At 38.9% G+C, this 17,359-nt stretch overlaps 1 protein-coding gene across 11 annotated transcripts in view; it reads left to right on the plus strand.

Moving 5' to 3' along the window:
- The window catches only part of COL14A1 (collagen type XIV alpha 1 chain), a 249,120-nt gene that overhangs the window by 182,942 nt on the left and 48,819 nt on the right, over positions 1–17,359 (plus strand). For all 11 annotated transcript variants that reach the window (NM_001413490.1, NM_001413491.1, NM_001413493.1 and 8 more), the window contains 4 exons: positions 2,614–2,667; positions 6,537–6,632; positions 8,138–8,191; positions 8,549–8,602. In NM_001413490.1, the coding sequence (NP_001400419.1) occupies positions 2,614–2,667; positions 6,537–6,632; positions 8,138–8,191; positions 8,549–8,602 (258 nt within the window). The remainder of the gene's footprint in view (positions 1–2,613; positions 2,668–6,536; positions 6,633–8,137; positions 8,192–8,548; positions 8,603–17,359) is intronic.

The raw sequence follows: 17,359 nt of genomic DNA on the forward strand, positions 1-17,359 counted from the left end.
GGTCTTCCATGTAGAAAATATCTACAAATAAAAATATATATAACATCTAAGTTTGTGTAAGTACACTCCACGATGTTCACACAACGACAAAATTGCCTAACAACACATTTCTCAGAATGCATTTCCATCACCAAGCAATTTATGACTTCATATGAAGAATTTCTACTCATTAAAGAGAAAAAGACATGTAACCCAATGGAAAACTGAGTAAAGTATATAAATAGACAGTCACAGTGAGAATAAATGCAAATAGATAAACTTATGAAAAGATACATAATCATAATAGTTTTCAGGGAAATGAAAATTAGAACAAGAATAAGGTATATTTTCAGCAATCAGGTTGATAAAAATGTAAAGTTTGATAATATTCAGGGTTGATTAAGATTTAAGGAAACAGGGACCCTCTTAAACTATTGGCAGATCAATAAACTGGCACAGTTAGTTTAGAGTACAATATGATAATATATCTGCAAATTTATCAACTTTCACTTAACGATTCTACTCTTGGTATCTTCTTCTGAGAAATACTAACAGTTTCACTTAAGGGATATGTAAGGATGTTAATTGAAGCATTTAAAAATTTTTTTTTAATTTTTAATTTTTTGAGACGGAGTCTCACGCTGTCGCTTAGGCTGGGGTGCAGTGGCATGATCTCGGCTCACTGCAACCTCTGCCTCCTGGGTTTAAGCGATTCTCCTGCCTCAACCTCCCAAATAGCTGGGATTGCAGGCCTGTGCCACCACACTCAGCTAACTTTTGTATTTTTAATAGAGATGGGGTTTCACCATGTTGGCCAGGCTGGTCTCAAACTCCTAACTTCAAGTGATCCACCCGCCTTGGCCTCCCAAAGTGCTGGGATTACAGGCGTGAGCCAGTGCGCCCAGCCTGAAGCATTGTTTAAATGGCTGAAAATTGTGGGAATAAAACTACTTAAATTTCCGGTAATAAAAGAATGGCTAAACAAACTCTTAACATATCCAAGGTTCAGACAACTATGCAACAGTTAAGAATGAATTAGATCTATGTGTGCTATAATAAAAAATCACTAAAGCATATTAAGTTGAAGTCATAACTATGTAAAAAGTGTGACATCACATATTTAAAACATACACAGCAAATAATACAGTAATACCACGGGCAGTATTTTGTATAGATATAGATGCACATAAATAAAATTACGTTTTATAATTGCATTTTTAAAATCTAGAAGATGAGCAACTAATTGATAAAAAGGAAGAGTGCATGTAAATGGTTTTTTAAAAAGCTGAGGAAATTTTAAAGATCACCTGACCCAGTGTTTTCTTAAGTGATACAGCATTCTGCTAATAGTGTACAGAATCCCTTTTAGTAATCCTGGACATGGCATGAAATAAACTGGAATCACACAGGGAGAAAGTTATTCCATTTTCAATGATTTTTCAATCCTTCTGCTCAGGTAAAATATAAATTCTGTCTAGTGCCCACATGGTCCTCCTAACACTCATCTCCCTTTTTATCGAAGAGCGAACTCTTGGCTCACAGACTTCAATAGAAACAGAATCTAGCTAAATTTTTTTTGTTTTGAGAGGGAGTCTCACTTTGCCGCCCAGGCTGGAGTGCAGTGATCTCAGCTCACTGCAAGGTCCGCCTCCCAGGTTCACGCCATTCTCCTGCCTCAGCCTCCTGAGTAGCTGGGACTGCAGGCACCCGCCACCACGCCCGGCTAATTTTTTTGTATTTTCAGTAGAGACGGTGTTTCACCGTGTTAGCCAGGATGGTCTCGATCTCCTGACCTCGTGATCCACCCGCCTTGGCCTCCCAAAGTGCTGGGATTACAGGCATGAGCCACTGTGCCTGGCCAATCTAGCTGAATTTAATAGCATTATTTATAGTGTATTGATTTCTAAGATTACCTTATAGTTTTAGCAAGCGATACTTTTTTTCATTTACTGTAATGCTGTATTTGCTTTTAAAATAAGTGAAATAGTCAATTAAGATATTCAGTAAATACACACATGTGTTTAGACACATATGAACATATATACAGGGAATATATACACATATATATACATATTATGTTTGTAGATATATATCTATATAAAGAAAACTGCTATTAAATAATAGTCTAGATAATATGGCAAAAGTTTTGAGGGGAAATATGAATGACAACTTTCAGAAAGATGAAACTAATTGTCCTTTTGCTGTGTAAATAAAGAAAATCAGGTTGTTGCTACTTTCATGTGCTTTCTACAATTTAATTGGATCATCTCAAAGTTATGTTTTATATGTTATATATGTATGTTTTATAACATATATAATTTTGATTAACATTGTATTCTTTGGGTCATTCATAATGGTAGTCTTCTATAACCACTAAGTAAATAAAATCTTACCATTTTTCAATATTTAAAAAGAATTTGGCAAAGAAAGTTTTCCAAAACCATGAAATCGTCTGCAGCGCTGGGGCTGGGTGGTAAATTTCCAGTTAAGGATCATGATGAATGTATACTATTACACAGTGTGTTGGCCTTTACATAAAATAATAATGAGTTAATTCATACTATTAAGGAAAATGAATGAAATACACTGTTTTGAGATTTGTCTTTGAGCTAATACTTAACATCTGTTTGCCAGGGTGGTCCAGGACTCCGAGGACCAAAGGGCCAGCAAGGTGAACCGGGTCCAAAGGTAATGCGCATGTTTTCTCTCTCTCTCTGTCTCATCTCTCTCTCTCTCTCATAAATAGCCATCATTTTGGAGCTAAATGTGACTTATTTCACCCTTGCAATCTAAAGTTCCTTATAGTTTTATGAAAGTTGTGCCTAACCCTTCTTCCTTATTTTAAAAGCCTATGCTTTTAATCAAAAAGAATATTTAATAACTCAATGAAAAGAAAGGCTTCTGGGTCAGAAATAAGAATGTCAATGTTCTGAGTGGTTTAGTCTCCAAGGTAGTTCTCTCAGAAATTGTACATTCTTCTCTTCCTCTACCTACAACAAAAACGTATCTTTAGAGGAATCATGCAGAACCACAATTTGGTATTAGTCCTTTCCAGGTAATTTCTCAGGTTTTGGATTCCTCCTCCTCCACTGCACTATATATAATCAAACACACAACTCTGTTTTTCATTCTTACTGCCCAGGGTCATCAAATGTGGTGGTTCAGGTTGTACATTGTTCAAAGGCACCTGCCAAGAGACCAAGCCATGCCAAGCCATGTCAAGGAACACGTTTTTCTACTTTGCACAAAGGCATCCTGAGGACTGGCAGAAGCCCAGTCACTAATGGAGTTCAGGCCTCACCATCTTCTCTCCAGCTCTTGGCAAATCTTCTAACTGGTCTTCTGTCCCAAGTGGCTTAACATTTCGATTGATTCTTCACATCTGCCCCCAGATTAATTTCCTTAAAGTCTATGCTGGATCATATCATACTTTTCAAAAACCTGCAGTCACATGCTGTTGCCTTCAGAATACCGTTCACCCTCTTTGCTGAGGCATTTAAGGCCCTTTGTAACTTGACTCCCATCTCATTTTCACCATGTTGCTCCACATGTTCTCCTCTCCATCCATCTTGCTTGACTTACTGCTCAGTATGGTTTCTTATTAAATTTACATAGCATTTATTCATGGAGAGGAGAACATTGCAAGGTTTTTTACCATAAAATTGGAAACAGATGAAGCAAGGTAGAAGAAAATATTGGGATAAAAAAGAAGTAAATGAAAGAAGGCTAAAGACAATTAATCAGGTACTACCCAATCCAAAATTCAGACCATAAGATGTCTCCTTTTTTGTTTATTTTGTTTGGTGGGACAGACTTGAGGTATCTTACTTGGTTCCATCTTTTATGGTGCTGTAAGAAGGGCAGTAGTTGGAGGCCTCTTCTCAAGCAAGGGTGCACTGGATCTTCCTCAGTTTCACCCAAAGGCAATGCCCCTCTGCTCCTATAGATTCTAGTTCCCTCTTCCCAGTGCCTCTATCAGCATGACCCCAGTGTTTTCTAACATGATCACTGGATGATCGTTCTAATCATGAAGATAAATGAGTTCGTAGATGTTTGGTGATCCCAAGACCTACCCATTTCCTCCAATTACCATTTCCATAGGTTGCTACTGATATGGTTATTTCTGTATGATGATTTTGATGAATCACAGATCCAAGTGAGTAGTGGTTTTTGGAAAAAGTCTTATTGGACAAAGGACGTTGACATGTCCACCAATGTGGACAGTGCAGGAATAGATACCTTGCATACGGAAGGCCCCAGTATGTATGATTTTTTATTTTGTTGCAGCAAATACAGAATAAGAATTTGGAAGGACAAAGCAAACCTCTTGTTGGTCTCTCCTAGTCATTTTTGCCTCATATTTTATAGGATAAAATGGGACCCCCTAGTTTTTGCCCTTCTACTCTATTTGCAATTTCTCGATAACATATTATTAAACTCAGCCAGGCGCGGTGGATCATGCCTGTAATCTCAGCACTTTGGGAGGCCGAGGCAAGTGGATCACTTTGAGGTCAGGAGTTCGAGACCAGCCTGGCCAACATGGTGAAACCCTGTCTCTACTAAAAATACAAAATTAGCTGGGTGTGGTGGTGGGCACCTGTAGTCCCAGCTACTCGGGAGGCTGACACAGGAGAATCACTTGAACCTGGGAGGCAGAGGCTGCCGTGAGCAGAGATCACACCACTGCACTCCAGCCTGGGCAAGACAGGGCAAGACTCCATCTCAAATAAATAAATAATATATTATTAAACTATTATATATTAAAATGATTTATTATTAAACCATTACAAATACTAAGTAATACATAAAAATTGCCTCCTTGCTGCCTCCATCGTATTTTTAAAAATCCAGCTCCCTCCCTCTCCCTTCCTCTTATGCCATGCTCCTTGTAAGAATAGTTATCATTCAGTGCTTCCACACGCTCACCTCCCAAAGAATTCTCAACCCACATATGCTTCCTCTTCCTCTGGGAGTCCTATGAAAATTCTCTCATAAAAGTTCCTAATTACTTGCTTGTTACCAGTTCCATAGATTAGAGTTTAATTTTTTTAACACAATCAAACACTTCTTTGTTTGAAAATTTCTCCTCCTTTGGCTGTTTCTATAGCACAATACCACTCCGTCTTCAGCCTCTTCCTAATTCTCGGGCTTTTTCATTTCAGATTCTTCCCCAGGTTTCTCTTCCTTTCCCTTCTACCTGATTATCATCTCATTTTTATCCACATTCTATTTCACTCACTCAATACATTCTCCTTAATAACCTCACCTATAAATATATTTTCAACTACTCCAAAATCCATCCCAGCATAGACCTTGCCTAACTCCTTGGCCTGCTGGACATTTCCATGTGGTTTATCCCAAGCACCTAAATCTTAACAAGTCTTAGTCTGCACTCATTATCTACCCACACTTTACCCCACAATGCCTTTTTTTCTGTATTCTTTGTCCCATGTAACGTGTTCACCAATCTCAGAGCTAAGATGATACACAGATGTTGGAGGTCCTAATTTAATAAAAGAATAGCTTTAGTTGAAGTCACAGAACGAGACAGAAGAGACTGAGGATAGGTAGGTTTTTGGGTCTAATATTTCTTACATGGTTTAGTTTTAGTTAAACCGCAACAAGATCCAAGCTACAGAAATAAGGGTTACAGAAATAAGGGTAAAAGGGATGTCTGATCCTGAAAAGAAAGGAAGTAAAATAGGCTGGGAGTGGTGGCTCACGCCTGTAGTTCCAGTACTTTGGGAGGCCAAATTGGGCAGATCACCTGAGGTCAGGAGTTCAAGATCAGCCTGGCCAACATGGTGAAACCCCATCTCTACTAAAAATACAAAAATTAGGCAGGTGTGGTGGTGCATGCCTGTAATCCTAGCTACTCAGGAGGCTGAGGCAGGAGAATCACTTGAACCTGGGAGCGGGAGGTTGCAGTGAGCTGAGATCAAGCCACTGCACTCCAGCCTGGGCAACAGAATGAGACTCTGTCTCAAAAACAAAAAATGAAAAAAGGAAGTAAAATAATACTAAGCCGAGGGAAGGTCATTCAGTGGACATTGAAGAAGGTGTAGTGTGGTGGCAGCGTCAAAGTGAGGAAGAAAGCAGAGGCTAGGTGCAAAGTTCTCAATAAATGCAGAGGAGTCCCCCCGAGGTAGGTGGTTGACAGTAGCGAAGACAGAGAGAATGTAGTTCATCTGGACAGTGTGAACCTTCCCAGACTAGGAAGGTGGTCTTGAAGCACTTATACTTATAAATTTGTTATGGAGTGTGGGGGGTCTCATTACTTACATAATTGGCATAGCACTCTTATTTACAGAAGCAAAAGTAGTAATGATAAAAATAAAGTTACAGCGATCCCTGTGTGTTTACTCTTATGGTTTACTGATGACATTTTGCCTGGAAGGTAAATCATTTGAGGCTTGATGTCTTGCTATCCTGAGTATTTCCTATCTTAAGAAAAACTATATAAGAAAACAAATTATAATTGTCCTAAGCAGAAATATTTTCTAGATGTCAGAGAGTCTAACTTACTTTTAGGATGATACTTCTCTCTTGCCTTCCAGGGACCAGATGGCCCTCGGGGTGAAATTGGTCTGCCAGGACCTCAGGGTCCACCTGGACCTCAAGGACCAAGTGGTCTGTCCATTCAAGGAATGCCCGTGAGTTGTGTTCAAACATTCAGACGGGTTTTATTGTTATCTCTTTTCCATGAGGTTACAAAGAATGAACTTTTGTCTTCTGTGTCTTAATAATGAACCTCAGTCCCTTTGAAAGCAATGATGGAGTGTCATTTCACTAGTTGTGCCCTTAGCCATTTTTGTGTCCAATGATGAAGGTCTTTTAACAAATAAGTACATGCATACTTATTGGAGGTAGGTCCATCCGCAAGCATTGTGTCTATAGAGGAAGAACAAAGCTTAGCATGTATAGCCCTTTTTCTCGTCTAACTAAATTCTTAATGGATGTGATAACATTCAGAAAGTAACAAATGTTATACAAATTTAAGTTTTTTAATTATGTGTAGTAACTGCTGATATAAATTAATAAAAGCCATTTATTCATGATCCTTATCTCAAATGGCATCAAAGTGCAGTTTATGGAGAGTGAGAGTTTAGATTTTTAGATGATGTATTTTATATAGCTGCATTTCTTTGAAAAGTCATTTTGTACCATTGAAAAAAAAGTTTAATTCCATTCACTGATCTTCATTAATCTTACTGTAGGAGTCTAGATTTAAGAATAAAAACAATCTCTTTAATTCATATTTGAAGCAACCAGATCCTTTTAAGCACAATTTTTGGCAATCTTTCTGCACATATGATTGTGTCTGCCTAGCTGAGAAGTTTCTCCTACAGTGTTATTTTTACATTTTAGAAAGCATTAACATGCCAATTTGTGTAATTACTACTAATAATAAACATTGGTTGAGGTCTTACTACATGCCAGATTCTGTGTTTGCTTTTCCCTTCTTATATTCCATTTAAGTATGTTTCTAGCCAAAACAAAACAAAACAAATCTACATAGATATGAGATTGTAAAATCCAAGCCGTAAATAATACTGAAATGTTCAAGCCGCCCTGCATGTATTTACAATATTGGCCTTGCCATATTAGACTGTATATTCTATGTTAAAACTATCCTGGTATATAAATGTTCAGCTCCATAGGAATGTTTACATAAATGGCATAACATATGTGGAAAGTGAAATATATTCTGTTGGCCAGGCGCAATGGCTCATGCCTGTAATCCTAAAACTTTGGGAGGCCGAGGCAGGCAGATCACCTGAAGTCAGGAGCTTGAGACTAGCCTGGCCAACATGATGAAACCCCGTCTCTACTAAAAGTACAAAAATTAGCTGGGTGTGGTGGCAGGCATCTGTAATCTCAGCTACTCAGGAGGCTGAGGCAGGAGAATAGCTTGGACCCAGGAGGCAGAGGTTGCAGTGAGCCAAGATCGTGTCACTGCACTCCAGCCTGGGCAACAAGAGCAAGACTCCATTTAAAAAAAAAAAAAAAAAAAAAAAAGTGTATATATATATATTCTGTTTAGATGTTAGTGCAAACGCGATTTACTGTGGAAACTATTTAAATAATGAGAGAAGGAAAAGAAAACGCTAAGAATTTACCTATGTGAACTTAACTCTGTATACTTTTGGATATTCAGGGAATGCCAGGAGAAAAAGGAGAGAAAGGAGATACTGGCCTTCCAGGTCCACAGGTATTATTTTTGTTTTTTAAGTCTATTGCTCTCAGTCTACAACTTTGCCAAGGGGGAAAAAAAAGCTGTAGCTTCTGAAGTCAGTTGTGATCTTGGTAAGTGTTTTCCATATTAAAGACTGCCTGTATTCACTTACCCTAAGCCCCTTTTGAGAGTCACACTGATGTTCCCCAGGTGAGCTCTGACAGGGAACATTCTTTGCCCATGAATAACTTCTAAGTCTGAATTCTAGGTTACAAAGGGTTCACCATTATGCTCTTAGGTTTGTTTGGAGGCCTTCATCTATTTCAGGGAAGCTGCGTGAGCAGATGACTCATTCCTGTGAACCTGACTCTTTTTTGTCCCTGTTCTACACAGGGTATCCCAGGAGGCGTTGGTTCACCAGGACGTGATGGCTCACCAGGCCAGAGGGTAAGGTCTTGCCCAAGGTTGGTTTTTAGCAAAGTAGTGACCTTTTCACCAGGTCACTCTTATTGCTGACAGGCTTCTATGTAAGGGAGTCAAGCCAGTTTTTGCTTTTTGTTTTCTCCTGTTTATGTATTTTCCACCTATCCTGCACTATTTCCCTTCACTGACATCTTCTATGTTCATTACTTCGTCAAACCCTAGGAACTTTCATCAAACCTTCCCAAATTAGCACATCCCTTTCCGAGTGCTCCCATGACCTGAATACAGTTTATTGTGTGCATTGGTTTAGTAGATTTCTCCAGTTCTTTCAAATCCTTGAGGCATAAATGTAAAGGAAATAAAGAACCATATGAATTAAAATTTAAATAGAATGGCTTTCTGTAGTATGGCTTACATGGCAATCTCCATTTATTTAATATCATTCAATTATTGGTTCTTCTCATCTGTTCAAGTGGACAGTAGTACAATAAAGTATAAAGATATTCAGGAAAGGGATACGCTAACATCTGGTATTTGTTTAGTCAATAAGGTTTTACTGAACCAAGTTTGAGGTTCTTGTTCTCAAAGAGTTTATAGTTTATTGGGAAGAAATATAACTAAATAAGAAACTTTTATTACATGCTATCATGGGAGCAGAGCCCTGTGAGAACACAAAGAATGAATAACCAAGCTAGACTTGGAGGCTGGAAGAAGACTTCTCAGAGGAAGTACCATCTAGGCTGAGTCTTGACTGAAAGATAGAAGTCAGCCAGGTGAACAAGGAAAGGAAAGCTATTGCAAGCAGAGGAAAGAGCATATACAAAGAGGTAGAGGCAAGGGAAGGTGGAGCATTTCCAATATTGTACATCGTTTAGTATGGCAGAAGATTAGAGTAATTGTATGTGTGTGTTGAATGCATGTGCACACTTACTTAGGTGTGGGGAGATTGTTAAGAGAAGAAGTTAGAGAGGTAAGCACAAATTCATTTAAATCATCTATTTTTTCCAACTAAGGATTTTGAACTTTAACATGAAGGCAATAGGTAGTCATTAAATTTTCAGCAAGGGACACAGAGGCTGGTCTTCCTTAAACTGTCACCGATTTAGACATGTGAGCAGCTCCACAGTTTCTCTCAAGACTGGATTATATAGAGTGGCGACCACTTAGATTCAATCCAATGAAGGACAGCACATCTGGTGTTCACTGGTGTTTTGGGTCGAACTTACTAGGTTAGCAAACAATTGACTTGAGCACCCACTTCTCTACTCAAACAAGGCTTGCTTTTAGCTCAGGGTAGCTATACTGTTCAAGAATAATGAAACTGTTCTTGTTTTTTCTATAGAATGTAGATGCGCAAGCCTTCTACATCCCCCCCTTTTTTTTAACACCAAACTTTTGTTTGCCTAAAATCTCAGTGTAGTCTCTGTTCATCAAATGGAATTAGTCAGTCCGTGAAATATGTTTAGGTGAATGTATCTGAAGAAGGCATTCTGTAACAGTTAGATTTATGTAGCATTCTTGTACATGTGGAAGCAGCATCTAGAAATATTTATATATTTTGGCAAAGGGCGTAGGCTAAGATCCTGTGTGGTTACACACCTGGATTCCTTCGTGATTCCTGAAGTTCTGAAAATGGCAATTCTAAAGATTTAGTTCGGTGAGTTTATTTATCTGTGCATGAAGTCCAATCTTGGCAAAGAACTCACAAATCAAACATGTTGAATTAGTGTTTGAATCATTTGGTTTTGGAATTCTTTCTTTTAACACCAATATACCAACACAGACTTTTTATAAATATTTTGCTATCCCTCCAAATGTGTGTTCCTCTATAGGATTAAAAGGCTTAGAGCTGTAATAAAGTGATAAGATATGTGTAATTAGATTTTATTTTCCTTTCTCTTCCAATCTGGAAGTCAAACTTTTAGAGTATGTCTGATTCTTAATTTGAAAACATATTAGATGGAAGTGGGCTTGCTTTTCCAAACTAGATTTCTGAGGATACTCATTCTTTATAGGGCCATGTTTAAAGAAAAGATTGTATGATTCCTGTGATGATTCTTCTAGAAGAGATATTTGAAGGCAATATCATTTCAATGTGCAACACAAGCAGATGCCATTCACACAGAATAAAACATAATGGTGCCCCTGAAATTGTGTAACATGGCTGCCTTGCTTGAGGGAAGGACCACATATTTTTAATCAATCAGCCGTGTCTTCATTGAGCAGATATAATATGCCATGTACTGTGCTCAGCCTGGAAAGAGTTGTTCATTACTGCCTACAGAGAAGAATCCAGAAGAAGAGAGAACTTCAATGGCAGAGGGAGACAGTTTGTGGACTGTTTGCCTAGAGGAGATGGAAGGAAGGGATAAGAACATGGCTGTTCCCTGGGGCCAGAAAGACAAAAGGGTCTTCTCAGAGACAGTAGAGAAGGAAAGAAGAAATGAAGGATGGATTAAAAACGGCTATTTAGGTGGCTCTGATCTGTTCAGTCAACTGATCTGAGGGCTTAAGGATAGTAAAGTTCTAACACAGTTAGATATTAATAATTACTGGGCAGGATTGTAAGATAGGAGGCCCAGGACAATTTTCATGGTGGGAGACAGACCTTGGACACGAAGCACCCCAGAAGACATGCTGCATTGGAGGGCCATCTCTCCCTGGTTTGGCAGTGGGAGAGGAGGTGCTGTTTATAGAGTAAGCACAAACACCTTGCAATTATTCCTGCTCCACCTCAGGCCATCCTAAAAGGCAAAGCTGCATTTGGGGGAAAAAAATAATTACAACAACAATAACAACCGTGGCATAGAAAGAGAGCAAACGCAGGATGATGAGACTTACTGCTGAAATGACTGAGAAGACACTTCCAGAAAACTCCCCAGTCAGGCTCCACTGTCCAAAAAATCAGGAAGCCAAAGCTTTTTATTTTCCTCCACTCTGAGCACTGAAGTCACTTAACGTTACTGTGCCTTTATTTCCCCTGTCCTGTGTGAGTAAAGCCTACTCTAGGGAAAGGAGGAGGAAGCTGCAACAGACATTTTCAATGATGTTTAATCGGCGCTTTTAGCTCCTTGGACAGTGTAAGGAGTACATGAGTGTGGTGTGCAGTAGGAGTGGTGGGCTATTCCTTACTGCTCATTTTTCTTCCTTTTATATTTTTGCCTTCTCTTGTTTCTTTACTTATTTTAATTTTAATTTTTAGAGATAAGGTCTCCCTCTGTGGCCCAGGCTGGAGTACAGTGGTGTAATCATGACTCACTGCAGCCTCAAACTCCTGGGCTCAAGTGATCCTCCCACCTCAGCCTACCAAGTAGCTGGGACTGCGGGTTTGCACCATCATGTCTGGCTAATTTTTTTATTTTATTTATTTATTTATTTTTGGTAGATATGGGGGTCTTGCTGTGTTGCCCAGGGTGGTCTCAAACACCTGGCTTCAAGCGATTCTCCTGCCTCAGCCTCCCAAGGTGCTGGGATTACAAGCACGAGCCACAACACCTGGCCAAATCTTTGTCTTCTCTTATTGACAGCCACAAACTTAAAGCGCAAACCAGGTGCCATCACCTTGACTGAAAGCTTATGGAAAGGTTAGCACCCCTTTCCTGAAGCTGAAGCCAATAGTACCCCTGAATTTAGCCTAGAAGGAGAGAGATCTTAACAAATAATAAAAAGGAGAAGATGAAACATCTTTTCTTCTAATGTTTCTAGCTTATTCTGGCTTTTCCCAAGGGGAATCTTTGACTCTTAGAGGTAGCTTTTATTCAACTCTGGGCCTGAGGCCATAAGCAAGTCTGGTAAAAACTGAACTTCATTGAACAAGTTGCAGCCTCTTGCTAGGCAGCCAGTAGAGTACAGGACCACACTTTAAAAAGCAATAGTGCAAGTTCATATTTCACAGCCAAATACATTGAGGCATTCAGTTTTCATTCCAGGTCATTCCAACAGAAAGCATTTTCGTCTCATCTTTCATTTGCACTGTAAATCTTGTCACTGCTGTCATCTCCTTCCTCTTCTTTTCTTGGTATCTGTGACTTCAGGACCTATCCTGTGATCTTTGAGCTCCTCTAATATATGGTGGCTTTCTCAGTCCCCACCCTAGACATCAGGGTGGTCCTCAGGAAAACTAGGAAGAACAGGCAAGACATGGATTACTTCATGTTTCCAAGCCCTCACTTTCCTCAGCGGTAAAGTGGAAAAAATAATATTTGACTGCAGAGAATTGTCATGGAGATTAATTCATATAAAGCATTTCTCTATAAAAATGTGATTTTAGCTAATATTAGTATTCACTATTTTCAAGGTAAACTTAACAAGCCTGGACATTTATAATATTTTATAAGGCTTGTACTTGACACGTCGAGATGCCTTAGAAGACTGAAGAAATACAAAAATTCTTTTTTTAAAAGCAAGTTAAAAATTTTTTTTCTTGGATTTCACCTCACAAGGACACCAGAAGCATGCTTCTAGATTATGCAGGTTTTATGTCTACAAAGGACATATTTGTGATGAATATCCCATTTCATCAAAAGTGAGTTAGACTTGAAATGCACTTGAGAAATTGAACTTGAGTCAACTATCTGGGTTTAATTTTTATCATAAATGTTAAGCAGTGATGAAATATTTATCTAAGTAATATTTTGTAAAATACTAAGATTCATGATAATTATTCCCTTGAGCATCTTCCTCCTTCTGAAGAGGATGTGTAAATACCATCACAAAACTAGTGGAGGGAATAATTTGATTTTCTTCTTTGTGGCTCTGGATGGGTTTTATAATATCCCAAGAAAGCCTTTGCACAATCAGCCACAGTGATGATGGTATATGCAGTTGAGACTGAACAGATTATTTGATAAAAATAGCAGCAACCACTATCATTACTTATTGAATATGTGCAGGTGCTTTGCAATTATGATGTTCTCTAGTCCTCAGAATAACTACGAATGCTAGTCATTGTTATCCCCATTTTACAGGCAAAGAATCTAAAGCTCAGAAAACGGAAGAAACAATGCCACACAGCTAGTAAGTGTTAGAGCCAGGATTTTAATCCATCTGCCTGGGTCCTACACTTCACTCTTTCTTTCCACAAAATTATATTAGTAAAGATCACCACAGGATTTTGTTACTGTGAGAAAATCTTTCTCAAAAGAGATATTTAATAAGCAGGACTTCAACACGGAAGATGTTGCGCCCAGCATTTTGGGGCAATAGGAACCCAGTGTGGGTTACTTTCTTGATGAAGTAGATACTGATGCTTCACCCATAAAAATATGGTTTCTTGATCACTTTACACCTTTACCTGGAGAGTGGCACACCTGGGCACATCTGAGAAGAGAACAGCTACTAAAACATATTAGTTTCCTGTTTTTACTGACTCTAGAGATACTTCTGGGCCAGGCACGGTGGCTCACGCCTATAATCCCAGCACTTTGGGAGGCTGAGGCAGGTGGATCACAAGGTCAGGCGTTCAAGACAAGCCTGGCCAACATGGTGATACCCCGTCCCTACTAAAAATACGAAAAAAAAATAGCTTGGCATGGTGGCACGAGCCTGTAATTCCAGCTACTCAGGAGGCTGAGGCAGGAGAATCACTTGAACCGAGGAGGTGGAGATTGCAGTGAGCCGAGATCGCACCACTGCACTCCAGCCTGGGCGACAGAACAAGACTTGTCTCAGAAAAAAAAAAAAAGATACTTCTGAAATTGTCTTTATCTGGGACACAGGCATGGTACAAATAGTAACATCTGCTTTGCACCCTGGTTCTAACACTGTCCTTCAGCGTCGGCACTTGCATTTTATATTGGTAAACCAGCAGTTTCCTAACTTAAGTCATCAGGTTGTTGTTTTGTGTTTTAATATACAGATTCCTGGACTTCAATCTCAGAGATTCGGATACAAAAGGTCTTAGGCATGACTTAGGAATGTATAGTTTTTAAAAGCTTAATGATTCTGATAACCAGCTAGGTTTTGGAATTGCTAGATAGTATATTGTGTGAGACCTACTGATGTCAAAGTGATTTCTTTGATAGACTATTGCTGGCATTTTTTTTTGTTTTAATTCACTGAAGTCATCACTGCAGGTTACTAAAAATGTACATATGTTTATATTTATATATATACACATTTAAATTATAAATGAATATGTATATATTAAAAATAGTATATGTGGACTGCATGTTCTCACTTATAAGTGGGAACTGAACAATGAGATAACATGGACACAGGGAGGGGGAAAACACACACTGGGGCCTGTTGGGGGGTGGGGTTGGGGAAGGAGAGCATTAGGAAAAATAGCTAATGCATGCTGGGATTGATACCTCGGTGACAGGTTGATAGGTGCAGCAAACCACCATGGCACACATTTACCTATGTAACAAACCTGCACATCCTGCACATGCACTCTGGAACTTAAAATAAAAATAAAATAGTATATGTGGTACATATGCAAGATATGCAGGCTTGTTACATAGGTAAACATGTGACATGAGGGTTGGTTGTACAGATTATTTCATCACCCAGGTATTAAGCTATTAAGCCTAGTATACATTAATTATTTTTCCTGATTTTCTCCCTCCTCCCATCCTTCACCCACTGATAGGCCCCAGTATGGTTTGTTTCCTTTTATGTGTCTGTGTGTTCTCATCATTTAGCTCCCACTTGTAAGTGAGAACATGCAGAATCTGGTTTTTCTGTTCCTGCATAAGTTTGCTATGGATAATGGCCTTCAGCTCCATCCATGTCCTTGCAAAGGACATGTTCTTGTTTTTTTTTTATGGCTGCATAGTATTCTATGGTGTATATGTACTACATTTTCTTTATCCAGTCTATCATTGATGGGCATTTAGGTTGATTCCATGTCTTTGCTATTGTGAATAGTGCTGCAATGAACCCACCCACACATGCATGTGTCTTTATAATAGAACAGTTTATATTCCTTTGGGCGTATGCCCAGTAATGGGATTGTGAGGTTGAATGGTAATTCTGTCTTTAGGTCTTTGAGGAATCGCCGCACTGCCTTCCACAATGGTTGAACTAGTTTACACTCCCACCAATAGTGTAAAAGTGTTCCTTTTTCTCCACAACTTCTCCAGCATCTGTCTTTTTGTTTAGTTTTGTTTTTAACTTTTTAATAATAGGCATTCTGACTGGTGTGAGATCGCATCTCATTGTGGTTTTGATTTGCTTGTCTTTAATGATCAGTGATGTTGAGCTTTTTTTTCATATGTTTGTTGGCTGCGTGCATGTCTTCTTTTGAGAAATGTCTGTTCATATCCTTTGCCTACTTTTTAATGGAGTTGTTTTTTTTTCTTGCAAGTTTGTTTAAGTCCCTTTGAGATGCTGGATATTAGGCCTTTGTCAGATGCATAGTTTGCAAAAATTGTCTCCCATTCTGAAGGTTGTCTCTTTAGTCTGTTGATAGTTTCTTTTGCTGTACAGAAGCTCTTTAGTATAATTAGAGCCTATTTGTCAATTTTTGCTTTTGTTGCAATTGCTTTTGGCATCTTTGTCATGAAATCTTTGCCCGCTCCTATGTCCTGAATGGTATTGCCTAGATTGTCTTCCAGGGTTTTTATAGTTTTGGGTTTTATATTTAAATTTTTAATCCATCTTGAGTTAATATTTGTATATGGTATAAGGAAGGGGTCCGGTTTCAATCTTCTGCATATTGCTAGCCAGTTAACCCAGAACCATTTATTGAATAGGGAGTCATTTCCCCATTGCTTTTTTTTGTCAGGTTTCTCAAAGGTCAGATAGTTGTTGGTGTGTGGTCTTATTTCTGAGTTCTCTCTTCTGCTCCATTGGTCTATGTGTCTGTTCTTGTACAAGTACCATGTTCTTTTGGTTATCGTACCTCTGTAATACAGTTTGAAGTCATGAAGTGTGATGCCTCCAGCTTTGTTCTTTTTGCTTAGGATTGCCTTGGCTGTAAGAATGAGATAATGTCCTTTTAAGCAACATGGATGGAGCTGGAGGCCATTATCCTGAGGAAACTAACACAGGAATAGAAAACCAAATACCACATATTCTCACTTATAAGTGGGAGCTAAATGTTGAGTACATGTGGACACAAAGGAGGGAACAATGGACACTGGGACCTACTTGAGGGTGGAGGGAGACAGGAGGATGAGGATCAAAAAACTACCTATTGGGTACTATGCTTATTACCTGGGTAGCAAAATAATCTGTACAACAGACCCCTGTGACATGCAATTTACCTGTATAAGAAACCAGCTCATGTACCCTGAACCTAAAAAAAAAAGTTTAAAAATAAATGAATAAGTAAATGAAATGAAAATAGTATATATACATATAATATATAAATAGATGTATATGTTTATCTGTGCATATATACATATACATTTTTAATGTGTGTGTGTGCATGTTTGTGTTACTGAAAATTTTCCCATGTAACCCAATGCAAGGATTGATCCCGGATCTGTAGCCTGGGACAGTGTTTACAGAATCTGTGGCTTCTAGTTGCTTGGCCTCTTAATCTGGTGGTTGGTCTTAATCTTTTGCTGCAAGAAGCAGCCTTTTTTCTTATGGCTGGCTGCCACACTAGTCTGCTTACAGAAGTCCAGAGCCATGCCACAGGGTTGAAATTGTGCAACGAGGGTTTCTTCAAGCATATCTCTAACCCTGACTGCTTGAGCCTGGCCCCTTTCAACAAATTCATCTGTTGCCAGCTGCTTACAGATCCCACTCTAACCGAGAGTGTAGCATCAGTTGAATAACCTTAACAATTGGCCGGAATCTTAAGGTTAGTATCATGACCTACCATTGTCA

Source organism: Homo sapiens, chromosome 8, assembly GCF_000001405.40.
Source record: "Homo sapiens chromosome 8, GRCh38.p14 Primary Assembly".
Lineage (NCBI taxonomy): Eukaryota > Metazoa > Chordata > Mammalia > Primates > Hominidae > Homo > Homo sapiens.